Raw genomic sequence first — 22,377 nt, 5'->3', positions numbered from 1 at the left:
TGCAAGTGAGAATAAAATTTCTGAGATGCAGCTAAAGATGTGCATCTAGGAAAATAAGTTTTAGTGTCTTGTTTTAGAAACCTAGAAAGTTTTGAGTCAATAATATGTGTCTTAAGAAAACAAATTAAACTCAAAGCAAGAAGAAGGAAAGAAATAATAAGAACGTAAACCAATGAAGTTGAAAATAGAAAAAGAGTAAAGTCAGAATACTCAAAAGCTTGTTCTTTGCAAAGATTATAAAAATCAGTAAACATCTAGCCAGACTAAATGAAAAAAAAGTGAGAAGACACAAATTACCAAGACTAAGAATGAAAGAGTTTGGATATCAATCACTAAGGCTGACATATATTAAGTGGATAATAAAAATAAATAACAACTTCATTAATACATTTGATAACCTAGATGAAATAGACGAATCCCTCAAAAGACACAAACTACCAAAACTCATTCAAGTAAACTAAACCTGAATAGTTTTATGTCTTTAAATAAATTGACTTTGTGGTTTAAAAACTTTCCTGTAAAGAAAATACCATGCCCAGTGGCTTCACTGACAAATTTTACCAACCTTTAAGGAAGAAATCATACCAATTCTAAACAATCTCAGGAAATAGAAAAGGGAAGAACACTCCCCCAACTCATTTGATGAGGTCAGCATTACCCGATGCCAAAAAACAAAGACAGTATAAGAATAGAAAATTACAAACCAATAACTCTCATAAACACAGACACAAAAAGCACAAAATATTAGCAAATTGAATCAAATTTGCTAATATGTCAAAAGAATGAGAAATAACAACCAAACCAAGTTTATTCCAAGAATGCAAGGTTGGTTCAATATACTAAAATCAATGAAATTCATCATATCACCAGGTTATTATTTTAATAATCATTTCAATGGATGCAGGGTAAAAATGATAGAAATTAACATCCATTCCTGATAAAATATCTTTGCTAACAAGGAATAATAGGTAACTTCCCTTGCCTAATTAAAGGTATCTATACAAGAGGATTACAGATTAGAAAGGAATAGATAAAATTATCTTTATTTTCAGATGGTATCATTGTCTGCATCAAAATTCCAAATTTATGAGAAAGTTTCTAGAACTAATAGATGTGTTTTGCAATGTCATGGGATACAAAATCAAAATTCAAAAATGCACTAGCAATAAATAGTTAGAAATTTTTAAAAGAAGTACATCATAATAATATTAAAAAGCATGAAATTTTAGGGATAAGCCTAAGAAAATAAGTTCAAGGTTTACATACTGAAAACTATAATAAACTGAAGAAACAAATTAGAAATACCATGCTCATGGATTGCAAGACTCAATATTATTAATGTAATTTCTCTTTAAATTGATATATAGTGAAATTTAATTCAATCTTCATCAAAAACCCAACAATCTTTTTCTAGAAATTGACAAGCTGATCTAAAATGTATAAAGAAAAGCAATAGAATAGCTAAGATAATTTTGTAAAAAGAACATTAGAGGACTCACATTAGCTTCGTAATGTTGCTTAAAGCCACAGTAATCAAACAGTGTGATAATTACATAATGATAGAGGTAAAGAACTCTGGAAAAGATTAGAGAGCCCAGAAATTGACATGCAATTTTTTGGCAAAGATTCAAAGGCAATCTGATGTAGAGAGAATAGTCATTTTAATACACAGTGCTGGAACCATGTGAATGAGAGACTTGACCCACTCCTTATTATTTATACAAATACTAATCTTAAAGGGGTATTAGAATAAAATAAAAACGTAACACTAAAATAGTTCTTCAAGAAAACATAAGTTTTGTGACGTTGGGCTAGGCAAAAGATTTCCCTGTAGATGGCAGGGAAAGAACTTATACCACGAATGAATTAGATAAGTTGGACTTCAGCAAAATTGAAAACTTCTACTACTTGAATGGCAAAAAGTAAATGAAAAAATAAGCTACATACTGAGATAAAATATTTTCTACCAATAACAAGGAGGAAAATTAAACAAGACTAAAAATGACACAGAAGATAGAATTAGTGGATGAGGACATTTAAACAGCTGTCATAACTGAGTAAAGCAGAAACATGTTAAGTAGAGACATGAAAGATAAAGATTGTAATTTAACTTGTAGAGAGTAAAAAGCTACCATGTCTGAGATTAAGAATACCACTAGAGGGGATTGACAGGAGATTGGATATTTCAGAAGAGATTAGTGAAGACATAGAAATGATCCACCATAACACCCAGAAAACATTGGAATCAATGTAAGCTAGAAGACAATGGAGAAACACCTATAAAGTATCAAAAGAAAAAAGTTCAATTAAAATTTTATACACAGCAAAAATATCTTTTAAAAGCAAAGGTGAGGCCAGGTGCGGTGGCTCACGCCTGTAATCCCAGCACTTTGGGAGGCCGAGGCAGGTGGATCACGAGGTCAGGAGTTGGAGACCAGCCTGACCAACATGGTGAAACCCCATCTCTACTAAAAAAAAAAAAAAAAAAAAAAAAAAAATACAAAAATTAGGCAAGAATGTGCTACGTGCCTGTAATCCCAGCTACTCAGGAGGGTGAGGCAGGAGAATGACTTGAACCTGAGAGGCGGAATTTGCAGTGAGCCAAGATCATGCCACTGCACCCCAGCCTGAGCAATAGAGTGAGACTCTGTCTCAAAAAAAAAAAAAAAAAGTGAAACAAACTTTTTCAGATGTACAAAAGCTGAAAGAGTGCATCATTAGCAGACCTGCTCTACAAGAAATATTGAAGAAGCCCTGCAGGCAAAAGAGAAATTATACCACATCAATAAAAGTCCTTGGAAATGGTAATTATGTTGGTGAATTTAGAAAACTTTTTTTATTATTACAAACATTTAAAAATAATTTATAGCTTAAAGCAAAAATAATAATAATGGGCCGGGCACAGTGGCTCACACCTGTAATCCCAGCACTTTGGGAGCCCGAGGCGGGCGGATCACGAGGTCAGGAGATCAAGACCATCCTGGTTAACACGGTGAAACCCAGTCTCTACTAAAAATACAAAAAATTAGCTGGGCATGGTGGCGGGCACTTGTAGTCCCAACTACAGGCTTGGCAGGAGAATGGCGTGAACCTGGGACGTGGAGCTTGCAGTGAGCCGAGATCACGCCACTGCACTCCAGCCTGGGTGACAGAGCAAGACTCTGTCTCAAAATAATAATAATAATAATGTATTAGTTTTATAACATGTACAAGTAAAACTCATGACAACAATAGCATAAAAGGTATTAAAGAAAACAAATGGAAGATTCTATTATAAGGTCTTATACTATACATGGAGTGGCATAATGTCAATAATATCACTTGAAGGTAGACTAAAAATTAAAGTCTGATTTTTTAAAAACTAAGTTAAATGGCAGTTATGGTTAATAAGCTAACAAAGAAGAGAAAATGAAATTACCAAAAATGTTCAATTAATCCAAAACGAATAGCAAAATAATAGATTTAAACTTAATCTTCAATAATCACGTTAAATGTAAATGGCCTAAATTCCCTTATTTAGTGACAGATATTCTCAGATTGCATTAAAAAATAGCAAGACTGATATATAGGCTGCCTACCACCAAACCACCTAAAATATAAATAGTTTAAAAATCAAAGCGGGGAGGATAGATATTACCATATTAACACTAATGAAATGAAAGCTGGAGTCAGTATATTAATATGACAGTATTATTCAGACCTCGCAGAACCAGATCCCAGAAAGATGAAATTAGCCACTAATATATTGGTTTGCTGTCTTGTGGCAACAAGTGGACCCTAGTTTCTCTTTTAGTTGATGAATTCTGAGTCAGAACTAAGTTAGATGTGGAAACTGAGCACAGGATTATGACTTTTCATAGTGGCTGACTTCATCTTCCTGCTCATCTAATCTCAGTCTCTTTTGAATATAAGTTTTATGTATATGTAAAATATTATATAATTATGTTTGTGGTATACATTTCCATCATGCACCTGATAATTAAGTGCTGGCACCCAATCTCTGCTATTCCTGGATCGTGTCATCCACATTGGTAGAAGAGATTCCAGTCCTGTAACACCATCACCTTCAAAGTCCCCATCTACAGAACAGTCATTACTAAGCTCTTCATTGATGCTGGTAAATGAAGCAACTTGCAGATCCTTCCAGGGAACATCATAAGCTGGTTTTTAGCTTCATATAACATGTCCACTTCTGCATCCCCACTTTTCTGAGGTTTTTATTATGCTCTGAAGAGTTTACAACATCAGTTAACATATCTATTTAATGAGAGCTTTCACTTGTTTGAAGTACACAAGAACCACCGCATCAGTGTATTAAAAACTGATTCCTGCTGGGCTCAATGGCTCACGCCTGTAGTCCCAGCACTTTGGGAGGCTGAGGCAAGTGGATCACGAGATCAAGAGATCGAGACCATCCTGGCCAACATGGTGAAACTCCGTCTTTACTAAAAATACAAAAATTAGCTGGGCGTGGTGATGCACACCTGTAGTGCTAGCTACTCAGGAGGCTGAGGCAGGAGAATGGCTTGAACCCATGAAGCAGAGTTTGCAGTGAGCCAAGATCACGCCACTGGACTCCAGCCTGGCGACAGAGCAAGACTCTGTCTAAAATAAATAAATAAAAGTAAAAACCTGATTCCGAGGGCCTCTGTCAGAGTGTTAAGTCAGAGTTATGGAAAAGTTTCTTCATTAAGCCGCATTACATTATACTTCCCCTGGTCCAGCACCCTTAGGATTTACTCCCAGGCATACTCCACCAGTTTCTGCAGTACTTATTAGCCAGGTGCTGCCGCTCTATTGACATTAAATGTCCTTTCTCCCTTAGCAGATCCAAGATTTTCCCATGGGGCTACGTCGAGATTTGACACAAGTTATTCCTCTAATGGCCAAGGTTTTGAGGTTAGGCTCTAAGAAAGGAAAGCATTATTCTGTAGGGTACTTTGAAGTCTCTGCATGGTCATAGGGAAGATGGAGCTCCTATATGCTAACGAGGAACAAAGGGTTCCTTCCACAGGCCCACAAGATTCAAAGTAATATTTTCTATCAGGAACTTAACTTTGGCATAGAAAACTTGGCTGGGATGAGAAAGTAGCCTTCTCTTAAATTCTGCCACCTCTTACCATTAACTCACATTTCTATTCTTAAACCGTGTTTGCCTTTTAATTTTTATTCTTTACTGTAAGTTGGTGTTTAATTGACCTAACTTGTCATTCTCTTTCTTCATTAAATCATTGGTGCTCAGCAATAATTACCCAGCTTCACCGTCCTAATACCTACTCTCTTACACAGGCTAATACCATCTTTCTGCATTGTATCACATCCCCATTTACTGTAGGTGAAAGTCTTATAATTTACACTGCAACAACCTGCCAGGGACTCCACAACCTTTTCCATACTATTTTTCCAGTGATCACTACTGGTAGCAACTATCCTAGTTAGGATTGTCAAAAGGCAGAGCCCTAAACAGCAATTTTTGTATGAGTGATATATTAAGATACCAGTCTCTTTCAGGAGATTCTTGTGAGGGAGGAAATGAAACAGGATAGGACAGGGAAGAAGTTAAGCAAAGATAGGGTTTCAGAAGATGTCTAGCCTCAGCTTCATCCAATAGGGAGCTCTGGAGCATGCATTGTATCCCAAAGCTTGTCCTTACCAGACATAAGGTAGCTAGCTAGCCTGTTGTACCCCCACATCAGTCATTCATTGGCTCTGGGCTACCTCTGGTGGGGTGGCATATCCTAGCCATTCCAAGCAAAGTGGCTTCTGAAGGCTGAGGTGGTGCTCCCATCAGCCAACGACAATCTTATAAGAGGCAAATGTAAGCTGCTATCGGCAGTTGAAGTATAGTTGCAATGTCCTGGTTAACAAGATCTGGGGCAGAGCAACAATAGCATCTACAATAGCCAGGTAGTTAATAATCATATAAAGGTATGTTTATGCTCATTCGTTATGAAAATAGAAATTAAAACTCGATGAGATACCATCTTTTCTATATACATTTGAAAAAAGCATGTATTTTGCGATTGTTAGGCATAGGATTCTAGTTGATGGTTGTTCACGTCTGTATCTTTTCTGATTTGCTGTCTATTCTATCAATTACTGAGGAATGACTTAAAATTTTCAGTTATGAGCAGGTACTTTTTATTTGTCTTCATTTTTGTCATATTTGTTTCATGTACTTTAAAGTTCTATTATTAGATGCAAACACATTTAGGAATGTAATGCATTCTTAGTGAATTGAACCTTTTATCATTATGAAATCTTTTTCTTTGACTCGTAGTATTTCTTGTGAAGTTTACTTTGGTATTAATTGATTAATCATGTTTTCATAATACATCTTGTATCTCTGTAGTGTTTTTGGTTTCGGTTTTGGTTTTGGTTTTTGAGATGGAGTCTCACTCTGCCACCCAGACTGGAGTGCAGTGGCACGATCTTGGCTCACTAAGATCTCCACTTCCTGGGTTCAAGCAATTCTCCTGTCTCAGCCTCCTGAGTAGCTGGGACTACAGGGGTGCACCACCACGCCCAGCTAATTTTTGTATTTTTAGTAGAGGCGGGGTTTCATGATGTTTGCCAGGCTGGTCTCAAACTCCTGACCTCAGGTAATCCACCCACTTCGGCCTCCCTAAGAGCTGGGATTACAGGCGTGAGCCACCACACCCAGCCACCTCTATAGTTTTTAGTAATGAATACTTAGGTGGTAAACTTATTAGAAGAACCAGGGAACTAGTTAACCTAAAAATCAAAGCATTAGCTGGGTGTGCTGGCGTGTACCTATAGTCGTAGCTACTCAGAAAGCTGAGGCAAGATTGTTTGAGCTCAGGAGTTGGAGGCTATAGTGCACTATGATTGCACCTGTGAATTGCTGCTGGACTCCATCCTGGGCAGCATAGCAAAACACCATCTCTTAAAAACAAAACAAAAAAATCAAGGCATTGGTTTTCTTCAGGAGGAAGGTTGGCACTGGTATTTGGGAGGCTTTTCTGTCACTAGGTTCTGTTTTTTCACCTAGGTGGTAGTAACACAGGAGTCTGCTTTATAATAATTCACTAAGTATTTAATTTTATTTGGTGTACCTTCTGTGTGTTTTATACTTCACAATGAAGACTAAAGCAAACAAAGAATTTTATTATGTCATGCATACAAAGAATATTTACAAAATTAACCACATACTTTGCACAAAGAAATTTCAATAAATGTCCTAAAATTGATATCACTCAAATTGTATTTTCTGAGTAATACACAATTATATTCAAAATCAAACATAAAAAGTAATTTTTAAAACCCCATGTGAGTAGATTATATAATACAAGTAATGAATTAAAACCTATAGTATTAAATATCATTGAGTCTATACTGATTAAAAAATTTGAATAAATAAATTAAGGCAAAAGGACACAGCTTGTCCTTATAGTAAATTCTAATAAATAACAGCAGAAAAATAATGGAAATAGAAAATCACCATTTGGTAAATACAGAAATCATTTTTACAGGCAATAATCATCTATGGGTGCTAAAATTGTTATTTATGATGAGAAAGATTATTTTTTATTTATTTCCTTTAAAAAATCTTATCTCAAATATATCCATGAATGATATGTATTAATTACAAAGGAAAAAATAATAACTTTACTGTGGAAAAACAGGTAGATGCCACCTTAATTACATGTTCAGAGTTAATATTAACCAGTATCTTGACATCAGGTATCTCCTGATGTTATGTACTTAACATCATGTTATGTACATAACTTGGGCTTAACATCACCTTGGCAAAAATGAGTAATTTCAGTCCAAACATGAGAGAATTTCAGACAAAATCAAATTGAGGGACATTCTACAAATTAGCTGTTATGCCTTTTAACCTTTCACCTTGGCAAAAATGAATAATCTCAGTCTAAACATGAGCGAATTTCAGACAAAACCAAATTGAGGGACATTCTACAAATTAACTGATCAGTATTCTTCAGGAGTGTCAAGGTCATGAGAAAACAAGGAGAGATTGAGAAACTGTCATTGATTGGTAGAGACTAAAAAGACATGATGACTAAAGGCAACCCCTTCTTCCTATACAGACATCTCAGTACAAGGTTTGTAGCTGTATTAAGACTACAATAACTGTTTTTTAAATCTAGTAGGAGATCCTCTATAAATATACTAAGGGCTTCTCACATATACAAGTGCCTTACAGCGCTGTGGCAAAGACTCCTTTATGGCTGCTTGTCATGGACCTTAAGTATGTCAGCATGCCATTTCCACTTAATCAAAGGTGGTAGTAAGCCAGTTCACCGAGGGGTATCCTGCTGGAGAAACGACACGACTACAACAGAGGTACAAGAAATCCATGATGATCACCTGTCATGAACAACTTAGTCCTTCATTTATAAACATGAACATACACGTAAAGATCACCAGATATATGAGGAAGATCAGTAAAATGAAAATGAAAATAGAAAAATGAATTATTGATTCCAGAGAAAATGTAGATGATGCAAGAAGGAAACAGCAACTTTTTTTTTTTTTTTTTTTTTTTTTTTAGATGGAGCCTTGCTCTGTCACCCAGGCTGGAGTGCAGTGGTGCAATTTTGGCTTACTGCAACCTCTGCCTCCTGGGTTCAAGCAATCCTCCCACCTCAGCCTCCCGAGTAGATGGGACTACAGGCATCCGCCAGCACAACCGACTAATTTTTTTGTGTGTGTTTTGTAGAGACAAGGTTTTGCCATGTTCCCCAGGGTAGTCTCAAACTCCTGAGCTCAAGTGATCCACCTGTGCTGGCCTCCCAAAGTGTTGGGATTATAGATGTGAGCCACTGCGCCCAGCCAAAAGACAACTTTAAAAACTTTAGTCTGAAGGCTTAGAGAGACTCAAGAGGATTGATATCCACCAAAGTCAACTAGAAAGATAACAGATTTCCATGCAAAGCAGAAATCAGAGCAGGAAAGGTTCAAAGGCATGACAGTTAAAACAGAAAATGTAATAGAATTGATAAAATGACACATCTCTGACTGAATAATATGAAAGGAAATCCCCTATAGTGCTCTAGAAATACCACATAGGAGTTGAGATGTAGTTACCAACATTTATTTCATTATTCTGTTTATTTTAGAGCATTCCCTTAGGCTTTCTTAGCCATTCCAGTTTGAAAAAGGTGTTTCACGCTATTTTTCTACTATCCAGAATTCATAGACCTAGAAACATTAACAATATCCAAAGTATTTAAACTGAGATATAAAGTAGTTTTTCTATAGCCATCAATTCTGTTCTTACATTTTCATACAACATTTACTATTGCCTTTTCCAAAGCTGAATGTCTGTTACTTAATTAGGAAATAAAATATTGTGTGAAAATGAACCCTATAAAAAGTATACCCCTCCCTACTATGCCCATTGCAAGTCTCCAAAGTAGCCACTGCTGACAGCTTTCTTTGTATTCTTTTCTATGCATTGACAACTACATATGCAAAATGTTGAACAAAAATGGGATCGTATTTATTTTTCAGCATCTTGGGGTTTTTTTTACTCAATAATAAAACATGAGAATCTTTTCATACCTATGTCTACATATCTGTCTTCTGGGGTTTTTTTGTTTGGTTGGTTGGTTGGTTTTTCTTGAGACAGGGTTTCACTCTGTTGACCAGGCTGGAGTGCAGTGGCATCATCACGGTTTACTGCCACCTTGATCTCCCAGGCTCATGCGATCTTCCTTCCTCAGCCTCCCAAGTAGCTGGGACTTACAGGCACATGCCATCATGCCTGGTTGATCTGGAACTCCTGGGCTCAAGCCATCTGCCCAACTGAGCCCCTCAAAGTGCTGGAATTACAGGTGTGAGCCACTGGGCCCAGCCTCTGTCTCATTTTTAACAGCCAGAGTCATGCGCCATATAATGACATTTCAATCAATGACAGACAGACCACATATACAACAATGATTCTTGCATATTATGGAGCTGAAAAATTCCTCTCACCTAGTGATAACGTCATAGTATAATGATTACTCAAATGTTTATGGTGATGCTAGTGTAAACCTACTGTGCTGCCAGTTGTATAAAAGTATAGTGCATACAATTATGTACAGTACATAATACTTGATAATAAATGACTATGTTACTGGTTTATGGGGTTTTTTTGTTCTATTTTGTTTTTTTGTTTTGAGACAGAGTCTCACTGCATCACCTAGGCTGCAGTGCAGTGGCACAATCTCCACTCAGATCATAGGGCATTAGATCCTCATAAGGAGCACGCAACCTAGATCCTTAGCATGTGCTGTTCACAATGGGGTTCATGCTCCTGTGAGACTCTAATGCTGTGGCTGATCTGACAGGAGGCGGAGCTCAGGCAGTAATGCCTTGGCTGCCGCTCACCTCCTGCTGTGCGGCCTGGTTCTGATGGGACCAGTACCCATCTGTGGCCTGGATGTTGGGGACCCCTGCTCTATGATGTTTGCCCAATGACAGAATCGCCTAACAATGCATTTTTCAGAACATATCCCCATCATAAAGCAATGCATGACTGTACATAGAATTCCACACAATAAATGCATTGTACTTTAACCATTTTCCATTTGATGAACCTGTTTCACTATAACAATAATTATAAGAGTATCTTCAGCTTTCATTCAATCAGTCATCCATCTTTTAGTGTTATTTTGTTTGCTTTTGATTTGCTGTCCCTGTTCTTAGTATGTTCATCCTTCCTTCTGCCCTTTCTTTGAAAGCTGTGTTTTTGGTACACCCATTTATTCTTCCTTTTCTTCCTGCTTAATATTCTCAGTTGTAATTCTTGTTGTTACAAACACTTTGAAATTTTAAATTAAATTTAGCTAGAAGTCTTTAAGTTCCAACTAATGGCTAATGTTTGTAGTAGGTGCCTTTCAGTAGAATTTGAGGGTGGTGGGAAAACCTGGCATTTGAAGCTTCCAACATTCTGAGACTGAGGAGGAATAATCAAGATTAACAGAGTAGAACCCTCTTAAATAATACCATTGGGACTTGTAATTGGGCAGTTAACTGAAAAAGTCGGTTATAGCTGGGACTAATAAAATGTTAAGACTTAAGCATTTTACTTTCTTTAAAACGTAAAACTGCATTTATTCACCAATCCTTAGATGTAAAGCTGCCAAGATCTTTTCTTCGAGTTTAGATTGTTGAATGGTGTTCTCAGAGCTCTCACAAAAATCACACCCTTGATGCATGATGTATGATTTCCCATTTTGATTTCTTTGGAGAAAGAAACTGAAGACATTTTGAAACAATTTAAATGTAGAATACTTTTAAATATTGACAGTTGTTCCAATCTTTTTCAATGTCTCATCCACAAGTTAATTTTTAGTGACCTCTTTATTGAGTCCTTTTGAAGCATTCAGCTTAGTTTGTTGCTGTTTTTATAGGCTACAGTTCTTTTGCTGCACTCATATTTTATCAGTTTATATGTAGTTAATTAGATTGTGTAATAAAAGTAACAAATAAAACAGGCATAAACAGTATTGGAAACAAACACAATTTATCTTTAGTAAGCTTCTACTTAACTAGAGGAAAGAGTATCTGGCCATACTAGAGAATAGATTATTAGCCATGAACCTTCAGCAAGGTGGATATGTCATGTTTTTAAAGAGCAAATGGGCCGGGCACAGTGGCTCATGCCTGTAATCCCAGCACTTTGGGAGTCCGAGGCTGGTGGATCACCTGAGGTCATAAGTTCAAGACCAGCCAGACCAATAGGGTGAACCCTGTCTCTACTAAAAATACCAAAATTAGCCAGACGTGGTGACAGGTGCCTGTAGTCCCAGTTACTGGCGAGGCTGAGACAGAAGAATTGCTTGAACCCAGGAGGCGGAGGTTGCAGTGACCTGATATCACGCCACTGCACTCCAGCCTGGGTGACAGAGCGAGACTCCATCTCAAAAAAAAAAAAAAGAGCAAATAGTGCTGGGTGATAGAATGAATCACCTATGTGGAGACTGTTTAAGATAATTTTTACTGTACATTAAGATTAAAGGAGATCAGCAAACTGCACACTGGCAGAACTAGGTGACAAGTAGTCACGTAGTTTTCTTGGCTGTTAACACCTGGGTTGTTTTCAGGAGTGTATATCATATTTAACTATTTTTTATTGTTATTAGGATGTTGAAGGGAAAATCCATTTTTATCTACCAATACCTGTTTGCATTGTTGGAACATGGCTTGGGTTAAGACTGAATTTAGCCATCCAAAATTGCTTTTTAGTGTGTGCTTAACTGTGAATACTAATGATATGTCCCTTGCTAATAAGTAAGTAATATTTTATTCTCTCTTTTTAAAATAAGGCTTACCTAAAACAGATCTTAAATCTACTTGTATTTCCAAAGTATTTTGAGAATTCCATTTGACAGCAAAATTTAAACCAATAAACACATTTACACTGCTTTTTCTTAATATAAGTCATTTTTAACCTCTTCCTTCAGCGGTTATGGGATATTGCAGTAAAATGCTGAGATCACCTCTCTGTGTTCTCCAAATACCCTGCTTCCTGGCCATGCACACTGCCTAAGGGTTCAATAAGCAGGTTAATTCTTCCTTCAGGGTTGGCCTGAGGGTTAAGGTTCCTGATGAGCCAAGTTGAGCTTACAAGTAGGAAGAAAGTGGGCGGATAAAGTGTACATGAATGATGGGGGAGAAAAACCACTCCCATGCAGCTGAGGTCACACAGTGATCTCTATTCTATTTTACATGTTTTATGCGTTTCTATTTTCTTGTTGATGCTTTGTTTTCAGCTTATCTTATAACTCTATTATAACACAGCTCTTTCAACATCTGACAAAGGATTGTTAGGAAAACATTTTCCAGTGTTTTCATCCAGCTGCTTTGGTGAAAGTTTTGGATTCTGTTCTTTTTTGCTTTTTTGTTTATCCTGAACCTGTTTCTTATTTTCTGTTTTTATGAATAAGATGAAATAAGGGAGGGAAAAATTGTGATAATATGGAAAAGTTTATTTTTGCTTGATTATATATTTTTCTATGATATCTCTAATATAATAAAGATGATCACCATATCTGCTGGTATTTTATATATTTTACATATTAACCATTATCCCAATTTTAAACTGACTTCACATTTTACTGATCTTCCTGGCAAAATCAGACTCCCTGAGTTTAAGTATAATAACTTGCCCCATGTTATGTAGGTAGTAAGCAGCTGAGTAAAACTAGAAAGCTAAGACATAAGCCTCTAAGCCAAAGCTTTTTCCTTCATTCCAGCATTTCTCAATCTAGGAATCCTGAAAGGCTGGGATGTCCCCAGATGTCATCTTATAACAAAGTTTTTTATTCTTTCAACAAATATTGACTGAGTGCTTATTATGTGTTGGACACTGTTCTGGGCACTTGAGATACATTATGAAAAAAGAAAAATGTTGCTGCCCTGAGCTTAAATGAGCTTACATTCTTGTGGGAATAGAGGAGATAGACAATAAACAAATAAAGAAGTAAAATATATAATATGTTAGAAGGTGACAAGTGCTATAAAAAAAAATTCAACAGTTTAAAATTGTGCTTTTATCTTTTTAATTATATTTAACAATGATAATGCAAATAATCTTAGTAACCTCTTATAACAAAATACTCCAACCTGGGCAACAAAGTGAGACTCTGTCTCTATGAAAAATTAGCTGAGCATAGTGGCACGGGCCTATAGTCCCAACTACTCAGGAGGCTGACCTAGAAGGATTGTTTGAGCCCCAGGAGGTCAAGGCTGCAGCGAGCAGTGTTGATGGCCCTGCATTCCAGAACAATTATTTGGTATTTTCTCTAGAAACACAATTATTTGGTTGTGTTTGGCTAGATAAGAGAATGCAAAAAATGTCATCGTACAATGTAAAACTGAAGGTCCCATAGTGGTTTAAAGAGGATTGATCTGTAACATAGCATGTGGTAGTAAAGGCAACATGAACCCAAATGAACACTGCTGTCTTTGTTACCATCTTGAATTTGAAATAGTCATTGTATTGCGGAGACCATATTTTTGTATGTGCCTATTTGAAACAATTCTGTGGTGCCAAATACCCTGTTCCAAATCCCATCAGATTATTTAATGCAAATTGAAATAATAGGAATATTTAAACTTACCTTTAAATAAAAGTTCTATAATGTTAACAATGACACTGATACAGTTTGGCTGTGTCCCCACTCAAATCTCATCTTGAATTCCCACATGTTGTGGGAGGGACCCAGTGGGAGATAATTGAATCATGGGGGGCGGTTTCCCCCATACTGTTCTCTTGGTAGTGAACAAGATCTGATGGTTTTATCAGGGGTTTCCACTTTTGCGTCTTCCTCATTCTCTCATTTTTTGCCTGTCATCATCCACATAAGATGTGACTTGCTCCACCTTGCCTTCCAGTATGATTGTGAGGCTCCCCCAGCCACTTGGAACTGTTTAAGTCCAATTAAACCTCTTTCTTTTGTAAGTTGCTCAGTCTCGGGCATGTCTTTATCAGCAGCGTGAAAATGGACTAATACAGACACCTTATTAAAATAGGCATTCAAAGATTGTTTCTGAGCAGGACTTTGTTAAGTCTGATCATACTGTACTATCAAACAAAGCCTTTACATTGTGAAAACTATTTTTTAAATAAAGGTTTAACTTATTAAAGTACAGAAATCTTGAGTGTACAACTCAATGAACATTAGTGCCATTTTATAAAACATACTTCTGTAAAGAGGCAGTGTCCACAGTAGTAACATGAAAATTTAAAAATATTAAATTTAGAAATATAGAACACCAAATAATAAATTTAACTATAGACACATGCCTGAAGAAATACCACCTTACATTAAACCTAACATTAGCAATTTTAGTAAAACAAAATAATTTATCATACTATTTTTATTTAAATACTGATTTTACAATTTTTTAAAATTTATTTTAGTTTTATAGTTATAAGAGCTTAAGAAAATGCATTAAACCTAACTTTATGATTTTATGTTTCCATGTATTTAAGTAATATAACATTAAGATTATGCAGAATTTCATTTTAAAGGGTCTGTATAGTTCTTACGTTTGAGAAACAATTTACTATGCAGCATTGTCTTCCTCTAAGTAGAAATTTATTTGATAAACAATGAATTTATTTGAGTACCTTTAATGAAAAGCTGTAACTTTTCTTGTTTAATGCCAAGTTGCAATTTGGTAGGGTAACGACTTCTATAGAAATATAATCTACATCTATCCAGTCCTCACTTGTGATCCTATCAACAAGTAGTGGTTATTCAAGTTGTTGATCAGCCTCAAACTATATTGTCATTACAAAAATTTTATTTTTATTGGGAAATTTTTATACATATTAATTTTCCCATATAGGTTCTTATTACAGAAACTTTAATTATTCTATCCTTTGCCCTATTTTTATGTTAACATTTTTATAATTCCAAATTCCTGAATTCTTGAATCTAGATTATTAAAAGACTTGATTGAAGTAGACTTAACTTAGTAACCACAACTTATATGCAATGACTAATCTGTGTTTCCCAGGTCAATTCTGGGGAAGATTTGTGGATGTGAATTGGAGCATGTGTTTACATCATGGCATTGAAAACAATTTTAAATTCAATATTAGCCATTCCCATTCTTTTTTTTTTTTTTTTTTTTTTTTTTTTTTTTTCGTTTTTTGAGACAGAGTTTCGCTCTTTCACCCAGGCTAGAGTGCAGTGGCACAAGCTCGGCTCACTGCAACCTCCGCCTCCTGGGTTCAAGTGATTCTCCTGCCTCAGCCTCCCGAGTAGCTGGGATTACAGATGCGTGCCACCACACCTGACTATTTTGTATTTTTAGTAGAGACAGGGTTTCACCATGTTGGCCAGGCTGGTCTCGAACTCCCGACCTCCAGTGATCCACCCAACTTGGCCTCCCAAGGTGCTGGGATTACAGGCATGAGCTACTGCACCCGGCTGCCATTTCCATTCTTACCCTACTATGAATATAATTAAAGCCATTACATTGTATACTTGGAATGGGTAGGTTGTATTATGAATTGTATTTCAATGAAGGCATTTTTTAAAAATTAGAGCCATGTGACCAGGTGCAGTGGCTCACACCTGTGATCCCAGCACTTTGGGAGGCTAAGGCGGGTCGATTACTTGAGGTCAGGAGTTCAAGACCAGCCTGGCCAACATGGTGAAACCCCATCTCTACTAAAAATACAAAAATTAGCCAGGTGTGGTGGCACACACCTGTAATCCCAGCTACTCAGGAGAATGAGGCAGGAGAATTGCTTGAGCCTGGGAGGTGGAGGTTGCAGTGAGCCAAGATTGTGCCACTGCACTCCAGCCTGGCCGACAGAATGAGACTCTGTCTCAAAAAAAAAAAAAAAAAAAATTAGAGCCATGTAACAGTCTGTTTCTATTTACCATCTCATCCTTTGTGATATTATCTTATAGGTAATATATACATTAACCGAGAAGGTGTTATTATATTTCATTAGTCATTTTCTTTTAAAGATAAGAAAAAGTATAGTCCTTTATAGTTACCCAAGTATTTACCATTTCATATTTCTTCATTCTTTCTCTATAAATTTTCATCTGATTTTTCTCACCCTGAAGAATTTATATTTCTTTTAGAACCATTCTGCTGATAACAGGCTCTCTCAATTTTTTCTGAAAATTTATTTATTTTGCTTTCATTTTTTAAGATGATTGTTTTCCTAGGTAGAGATTGTAAGATTGGCAGTTCCTGCTTCCCTCAGCACTTTAAGATGTTCCATTATTTCCTCACCTCCATTGTTTCTGATGAGAAATCAGTAATAATTTGTATAATTGTTCCCCTGTTTATAATGGAGCTGTTTTTCCTCTGGCTGCTTTTCTCTTTATTTATGTTTTCAACTGTTCGGTGAAAATGTGCCTAAGTGTGGTTTCTTTGTATTTATCTTAATTGGAGTTCAGATCTTGTATCTATAAATTTATGTCTTTCATAATTTAGGAAAAATTTGGTCATTATTTCCTCAAATCTTTTATTATACTGCATTTTCACAGCTCTGAGAATACATTTAAATATAACTTAAAACCACTTAAATATAGTCCCACAGAATAGTGAGTCTTTGTAGGTTTTTTTCAATATTGTTTCTGTCTCATCTTCAGATTGAATATTTTCTATTGATGTATTTTCAAGTTCACGGCTTCCTTTCTTTGGCTTTCTCCAACTTACTTTTTTTCCATCCACTGTTTCTTCATGTGTTTAGTAGTTTTTAATTGTGCTATTGTGGAGGCTATGGCTATCTTTAAATACTGCTGATTTTGTTCTAGCAAGCAATTCAAGGGACTGAGCTCAAAAATGAAACTCCTCCCTGAGCTAAACTCTTCACTCATTTTTTTTAGCCTTCCAGCTGTTGTTTTTTGCCAGGTCCTCTGCACATGCATTAATCAAGACCAGCCAAGGATTTGAGGGGGTTTATATGAAGATTTTATACCTCCAGGCCCTCAGCTTTCTCCTGTCTGAGGTCTTCCCATGATTTTCTAGCAATTCCATCAGCCCAAAATTTTTTCCTTTGAATCCTCAAATCAGGTAAGACTATAGCTTTCTGCTTGCGTTCCAGCCGTTTCATGTGGTGTAGACTGACTGGAAAGAGCCTTTAAGTGAAAAGCCAGATGCAGAATCAATGCAGTTCCCCTTTCAGTTTCTACCTGCTTTAAGTTGTCCCAGTGCCTTCAAATAGTTGTTTTTATATTTTTCCCCAGAATGTATTGCTGTCTATTGGAAGGTTAACATAATACAAGTCAATCTACCATTGCCAAAAGTGTAACGGCATCATAATTTTAAAATTTGGATAATACTTTTGCACATAGAATGTTCCTTTTTTATGCCCTCTCGTTCTTGTCTCATGAATGCAATCAAAATATTTTCTTATTTAACAATATTGATTATGGGTCTTATGAGATTATTTTCTGCTTCCTGTTCTCTTTTCGTCAATTTTTTTTTTTCCTTATTCAGCTTTTTAGTGTATGGAGAGAGGAACTTTGTTTAGATATCTGGTCCTTGACTTTCCATTCATATTTGAGGGTGAGGTTCTAAAAAGACAATTGAAATCTTCTTGTGCATAAATGTGGATTGTTATCTGTTGAAATCAATGTTAGACAGAATGACTAGTCATTTTATTAGGGATCTCCAAATGTCAGTATTACGAAGTCTCTTATTTTATGATGGTGCTATTTCAGAGAGGATTTTTCTAAGTTCCTGTCTTGAAATTATGAGTTTGGTTGTCAGCATTCTTGGAGCCACACTGGGGAAAGAAGCTGGCATGGTGATATGGTTTGGCTTTGTCCCCACCCAAATCTCATCTTGAATTGTAGCTCCCATAATTCCCACATGTCGTGGGAGGGGCCTAGTGGGAGGTAACTGAATCATGGGGGCAGGCTTTTCCTGTGCTGTTATCGTGATAGTTAATAAGTCTCACAAGATCTGATGGTTTTATAAAGGACAGAGACTAAGTCTAGAAAGTCCTTCAAACTTATTCACCCTGGTACTATGGGTACCCTTAAAGAAAATATTTGTATATGCATGCCCAGATTCAAAGATGTGAGCCTCATACATTGGTACGTGAAGACCTGGCTGTGAGCCAAAGTCACAAGAAATGTAGGTAAGTACAGCTGGGCTCCTCCCATGCATTGAGAGGTACTCACAGGCTCAGCCCTAAGCAGGCTTGCACTGGGCAGGTTTTCAGAAAAAAGCCATGCCCAATTTATTGTTGCTTATCCAGCAATGACCAAGAATTATGGCATCAGAGTATTTAAATAGTGACAACAAAGAACATGCTGGGGCTGCTGGGTTCTCCTTGTTTCAATAAGGATATCTTGTGCCAGTGACATTAGTAACAGCTGTAAAGAATTCAACTGCTTGGTTGACTAGTCAGAGGATGCTTACCAGAACTGACCTGTAAGTCTGAATAAGCATCCTTAGAGGTCTTGAAGTTGTCAGCAAAGCAAACATCCTGGGGAGAAAATAAAGCATAGAGACATTTAATTTGAAAATTAAAAGGAATATGACATTATTATGTATCTTAGGCTTATGATAACAGATGTGTGTATACACATATAACAAACATTATATATGGACTGCAAAGTACTTGAAAATGATACCATATCAACAACTGTGCACTTAAAAATTCTGAATAAAGAGCACAGATACTAAGTAGAGACAAATTTTATCCATGAACAATCAGTCCAGGAAAGATTCCTGAAGTTAACTTCTCAGCTGGATTTTGAAGAGGATGAAGCCTATGTATCTTTATGGATGAAAGAGGGAAGTGATATAAATTCTAGGCTACCAAGCCAAAAAAAAATCAAGTTGAATTTTATTTATTTAATTGTAGAACAAATGATCAGCAGCAGAAGTCTCCCCACTGACCCCTAGCCACACACACACCCTTTTTTAATGATCTGCCACTCATCACAGTAATGAAGATGTTCTTTAGGCAATGTTATACCATATGGCCTAAAAGCTTAGAAGGCAAGAAAAGTCAAACCTGAGAATAGCAAACATAGTGAGCAGCTGAAGTGGAATATCTTTTATGGAAATAAACTCGTAGTTAATAAAACAGTAGTTCTAACAATGAAGTACCTTGAGTAATAAACTTACTGATTAATACGTAGCCAATGGGATACTTGAACTGAAGAATAATATTGTACAAATAATCTCAAAGTTTAGTTGGTGTACGAAAAGTCAGATGATGAGAATTTTCTAGCGCTTCCTTCTGCAATCATCTACACATGAGATAGTTAAGGCCAAATGATACAGTTGGCTGTATCCCCACCCAAATCTCATCTTGAATTTTAGCTCCCGTAATTCCCACGTGTTGTGGGATGGACCGGGTGGGAGATAACTGAATCATGGGGAGGATTTCTCCCATACTGTTCTCGTGGTAGTGAATAAGTCTCACGAGATCTGATGATTTTATAAGGGGTTTCCCCTTTCACTTTGCTCATTCTCTTGCCTGCCGCTATGTAAGATGTGCCTTTTGCCTTTTGCCTTTTGCCTTTCGCCTTCCACCATGATTGTGAGGCCTCCCCAGCCACGTGGAACTGTGAGTCCATTAAACCTCTTTTTCTTTATAAAATGCCCAGTCTCGGGTATGTCTTTATCAACCGCGTTAAAACAGACTAATACACCAGAGATCTGGGAAGTAGAGGAATTGGAAGCTGGGAGTAGGAGTATGGGGAGACCAAAGTTGTTACAAAGAAGTGATTAGCAGAATTTTTAATTGTAAGTTAAAATAGCAGTAGGGAAAAAATGATACCACAGCTTTCAGCCTGGAAACACTCAAGATGTTGTTGATAGTGATGGGGAAATTAGTGAAGATGACTCTTCGGGGAGATGGACTTGTTTTTAAATATGATGTTTCAGGAGTTGTATGGCATTCAAACTGAAATGTTCCATGGACAATGGTGGAGAGAAGTATAATCGTAGATGGCAGTATGGTAGCCCAAACTTGATAACATCTGAAGCCATAAAACTTATTTAGATCCTCCAGAAGGGGTATCAAAGGAGTAAGAAACTTGGAATTTAGCCTTGAAAGTGCCCAGTTGTAGGAAATGAACTAAAGATGGACACATCAGAGAGAGTTGGAAGGAATTGTTGAATCTCTAAATTGTCATAAATCCATACAATCCATATAATAGACAATGTTATAAATTCACCTCAAAATCTACCAAAGGGGACCTCCAGTAAGCTATTAAGAACCTGAAGACAGTGTTTTACTCAAGCCAAAGCAAGAGAGAAGAGAAATAACTGTGCTGGTTTACACCGAATTACATTACAGGATTATACAGGGCTTTTCCAGACAGTATCTTGACTTCTACAACAACTTACTGAAATGATTGTTTTTATGCTCCTTGTACTGATGAGGAAGGGAAAGAAGGACTAATTGCCTAAATTTCTAGAAAATGGAAACAATGTGGAGAAACCACTGAATCTGGACAAGGAAGACATTTCCGAAAAGATTGAGTCTCTCAAATTTCACATTGTGATTGGGGAAAAATTCTTTCCACATAGGCCTTATTTTGTATTTCCTTTTTTTTTTTTTTTTTTTTTGAGACAGAGTCTCACTCTGTCACCCAAGCTGGAATGAATCTCGGCTCACTGCAACCTCCTCCCACTGGGTTCAAGCAATTCTCGTGCCTCAGCCTTCTGGGTAGCTGGGACTACAGGCACCCGCCACCACACCTGGCTAATTTTCTGTATTTTTAGTAGAGATGGAGTTTCACCATGTTGGCCAGGCTGGTCTCGAACTCCTGACCTCAAGTGATCCGCCCACCTCAGCCTCCCAAAGTGCTAGGATTACAGGCATGAGCCACCATGCCTGGCCAGCCTTATTTTAAAGATGAGAATTTCTGAACTCTTAACAATCCTTGCTGATAGTAGAAGACTTTCTGTAGTTTGTCATGGAGCAGTCTCCCATAATTCAGAGCAGTAATAAGCAAACCAAAGCATCTATGCTGTTTCAATTCTGCCAAAGTTTATTATAAGGAAGTCAAGTTCAGTGGTGAATAAACTATCTTAATATTTTATTCAAAATTCACGTATGGGCCGGGAGTGGTGGCTCACACCTGTATTCCCAGCACTTTGGGAGGCCGAGGCAGGCGGATTGCCTGAGCTCAAGAGTTCGCAACCAGCCTGGGCAACACAGTGAAACCCCGTCTCTACTAAAATACAAAAAATTAGCTGGGTGTGGTGGCATGCACCTGTAGTCCCAGCTACTTGGGAGGCTGAGGCAGGAGAATGGTGTGAACCCCAGAGGTGGAGGTTGCCATGAGCCACGATCGTCGCGACACTGCACCCAGCCTGGGTGACAGAGCAAGACTCCATCTCACAAAAAAAAAAAAAAAAAGTATGTGTTTAGCTAGAGATGTTTTATTTTGATATGACTTTGTCCTTCTGTGTGTACTATTCTTGAGGAACTTCTCTGTTTTTCCATAAACTACTAATTTAAATTGTAGATAGGGACTGTTTGTAGAAAATACCAAGGGGAAAATACATTTATAAACATAGGAAAATACAACTGTCTACCTTTCATTGTATATTTAAAGATGCTCACAATAAGCTGTAATCATTCCTCTTCCTCTTTCTAAACCCTTCTTAACATTCTCTTCAATTCATTGTACTTCTCTTTCCCAGTTACAGCACTTTTTCTTCTCCCCCCCTCCCTCTCCCTCTCCTCCCTTTTCCTCTCCCTTTCTCTCTCTGCCTCTCTCCCACTCCTCCTCTCTTCCCCCAGCCCACACCTTTCTTTGTCTCTCTTTCATTTATGTAAATCTTTCCAGGGTGGATCTACTCTCTTAGCCTGGTCCAAGTGAATCATCAAAGAATAATAGCACATTAGACAATCTCCTCAGTATGTGGCCACAAGCAGCCTCCATAGTG

General features: G+C 37.0%; 1 long non-coding RNA gene across 1 annotated transcript in view, besides 1 other annotated feature; it reads left to right on the top strand.

Moving 5' to 3' along the window:
- Positions 1-22,377, top strand: part of LINC01572 (long intergenic non-protein coding RNA 1572) — a 384,069-nt gene that overhangs the window by 241,623 nt on the left and 120,069 nt on the right. The gene's annotated exons all lie outside the window — the stretch shown is intronic.
- Positions 764-933: an enhancer, noted in NCBI's record as "experimental_44094 CRE fragment used in MPRA reporter constructs". NCBI's record gives its function as "activates a minimal promoter by MPRAs in K562 erythroleukemia cells, with activity observed for both the introgressed and non-introgressed 16:72456399 variant alleles {active_cell/tissue: K562}" and the evidence as "EXISTENCE:reporter gene assay evidence [ECO:0000049][PMID:34662402]".

This window comes from Homo sapiens, chromosome 16, assembly GCF_000001405.40.
Source record: "Homo sapiens chromosome 16, GRCh38.p14 Primary Assembly".
Taxonomy (NCBI): domain Eukaryota; kingdom Metazoa; phylum Chordata; class Mammalia; order Primates; family Hominidae; genus Homo; species Homo sapiens.
Note: the sequence above shows the minus strand (reverse complement) of the source record. Positions and strands in the feature narration are given on the sequence as shown.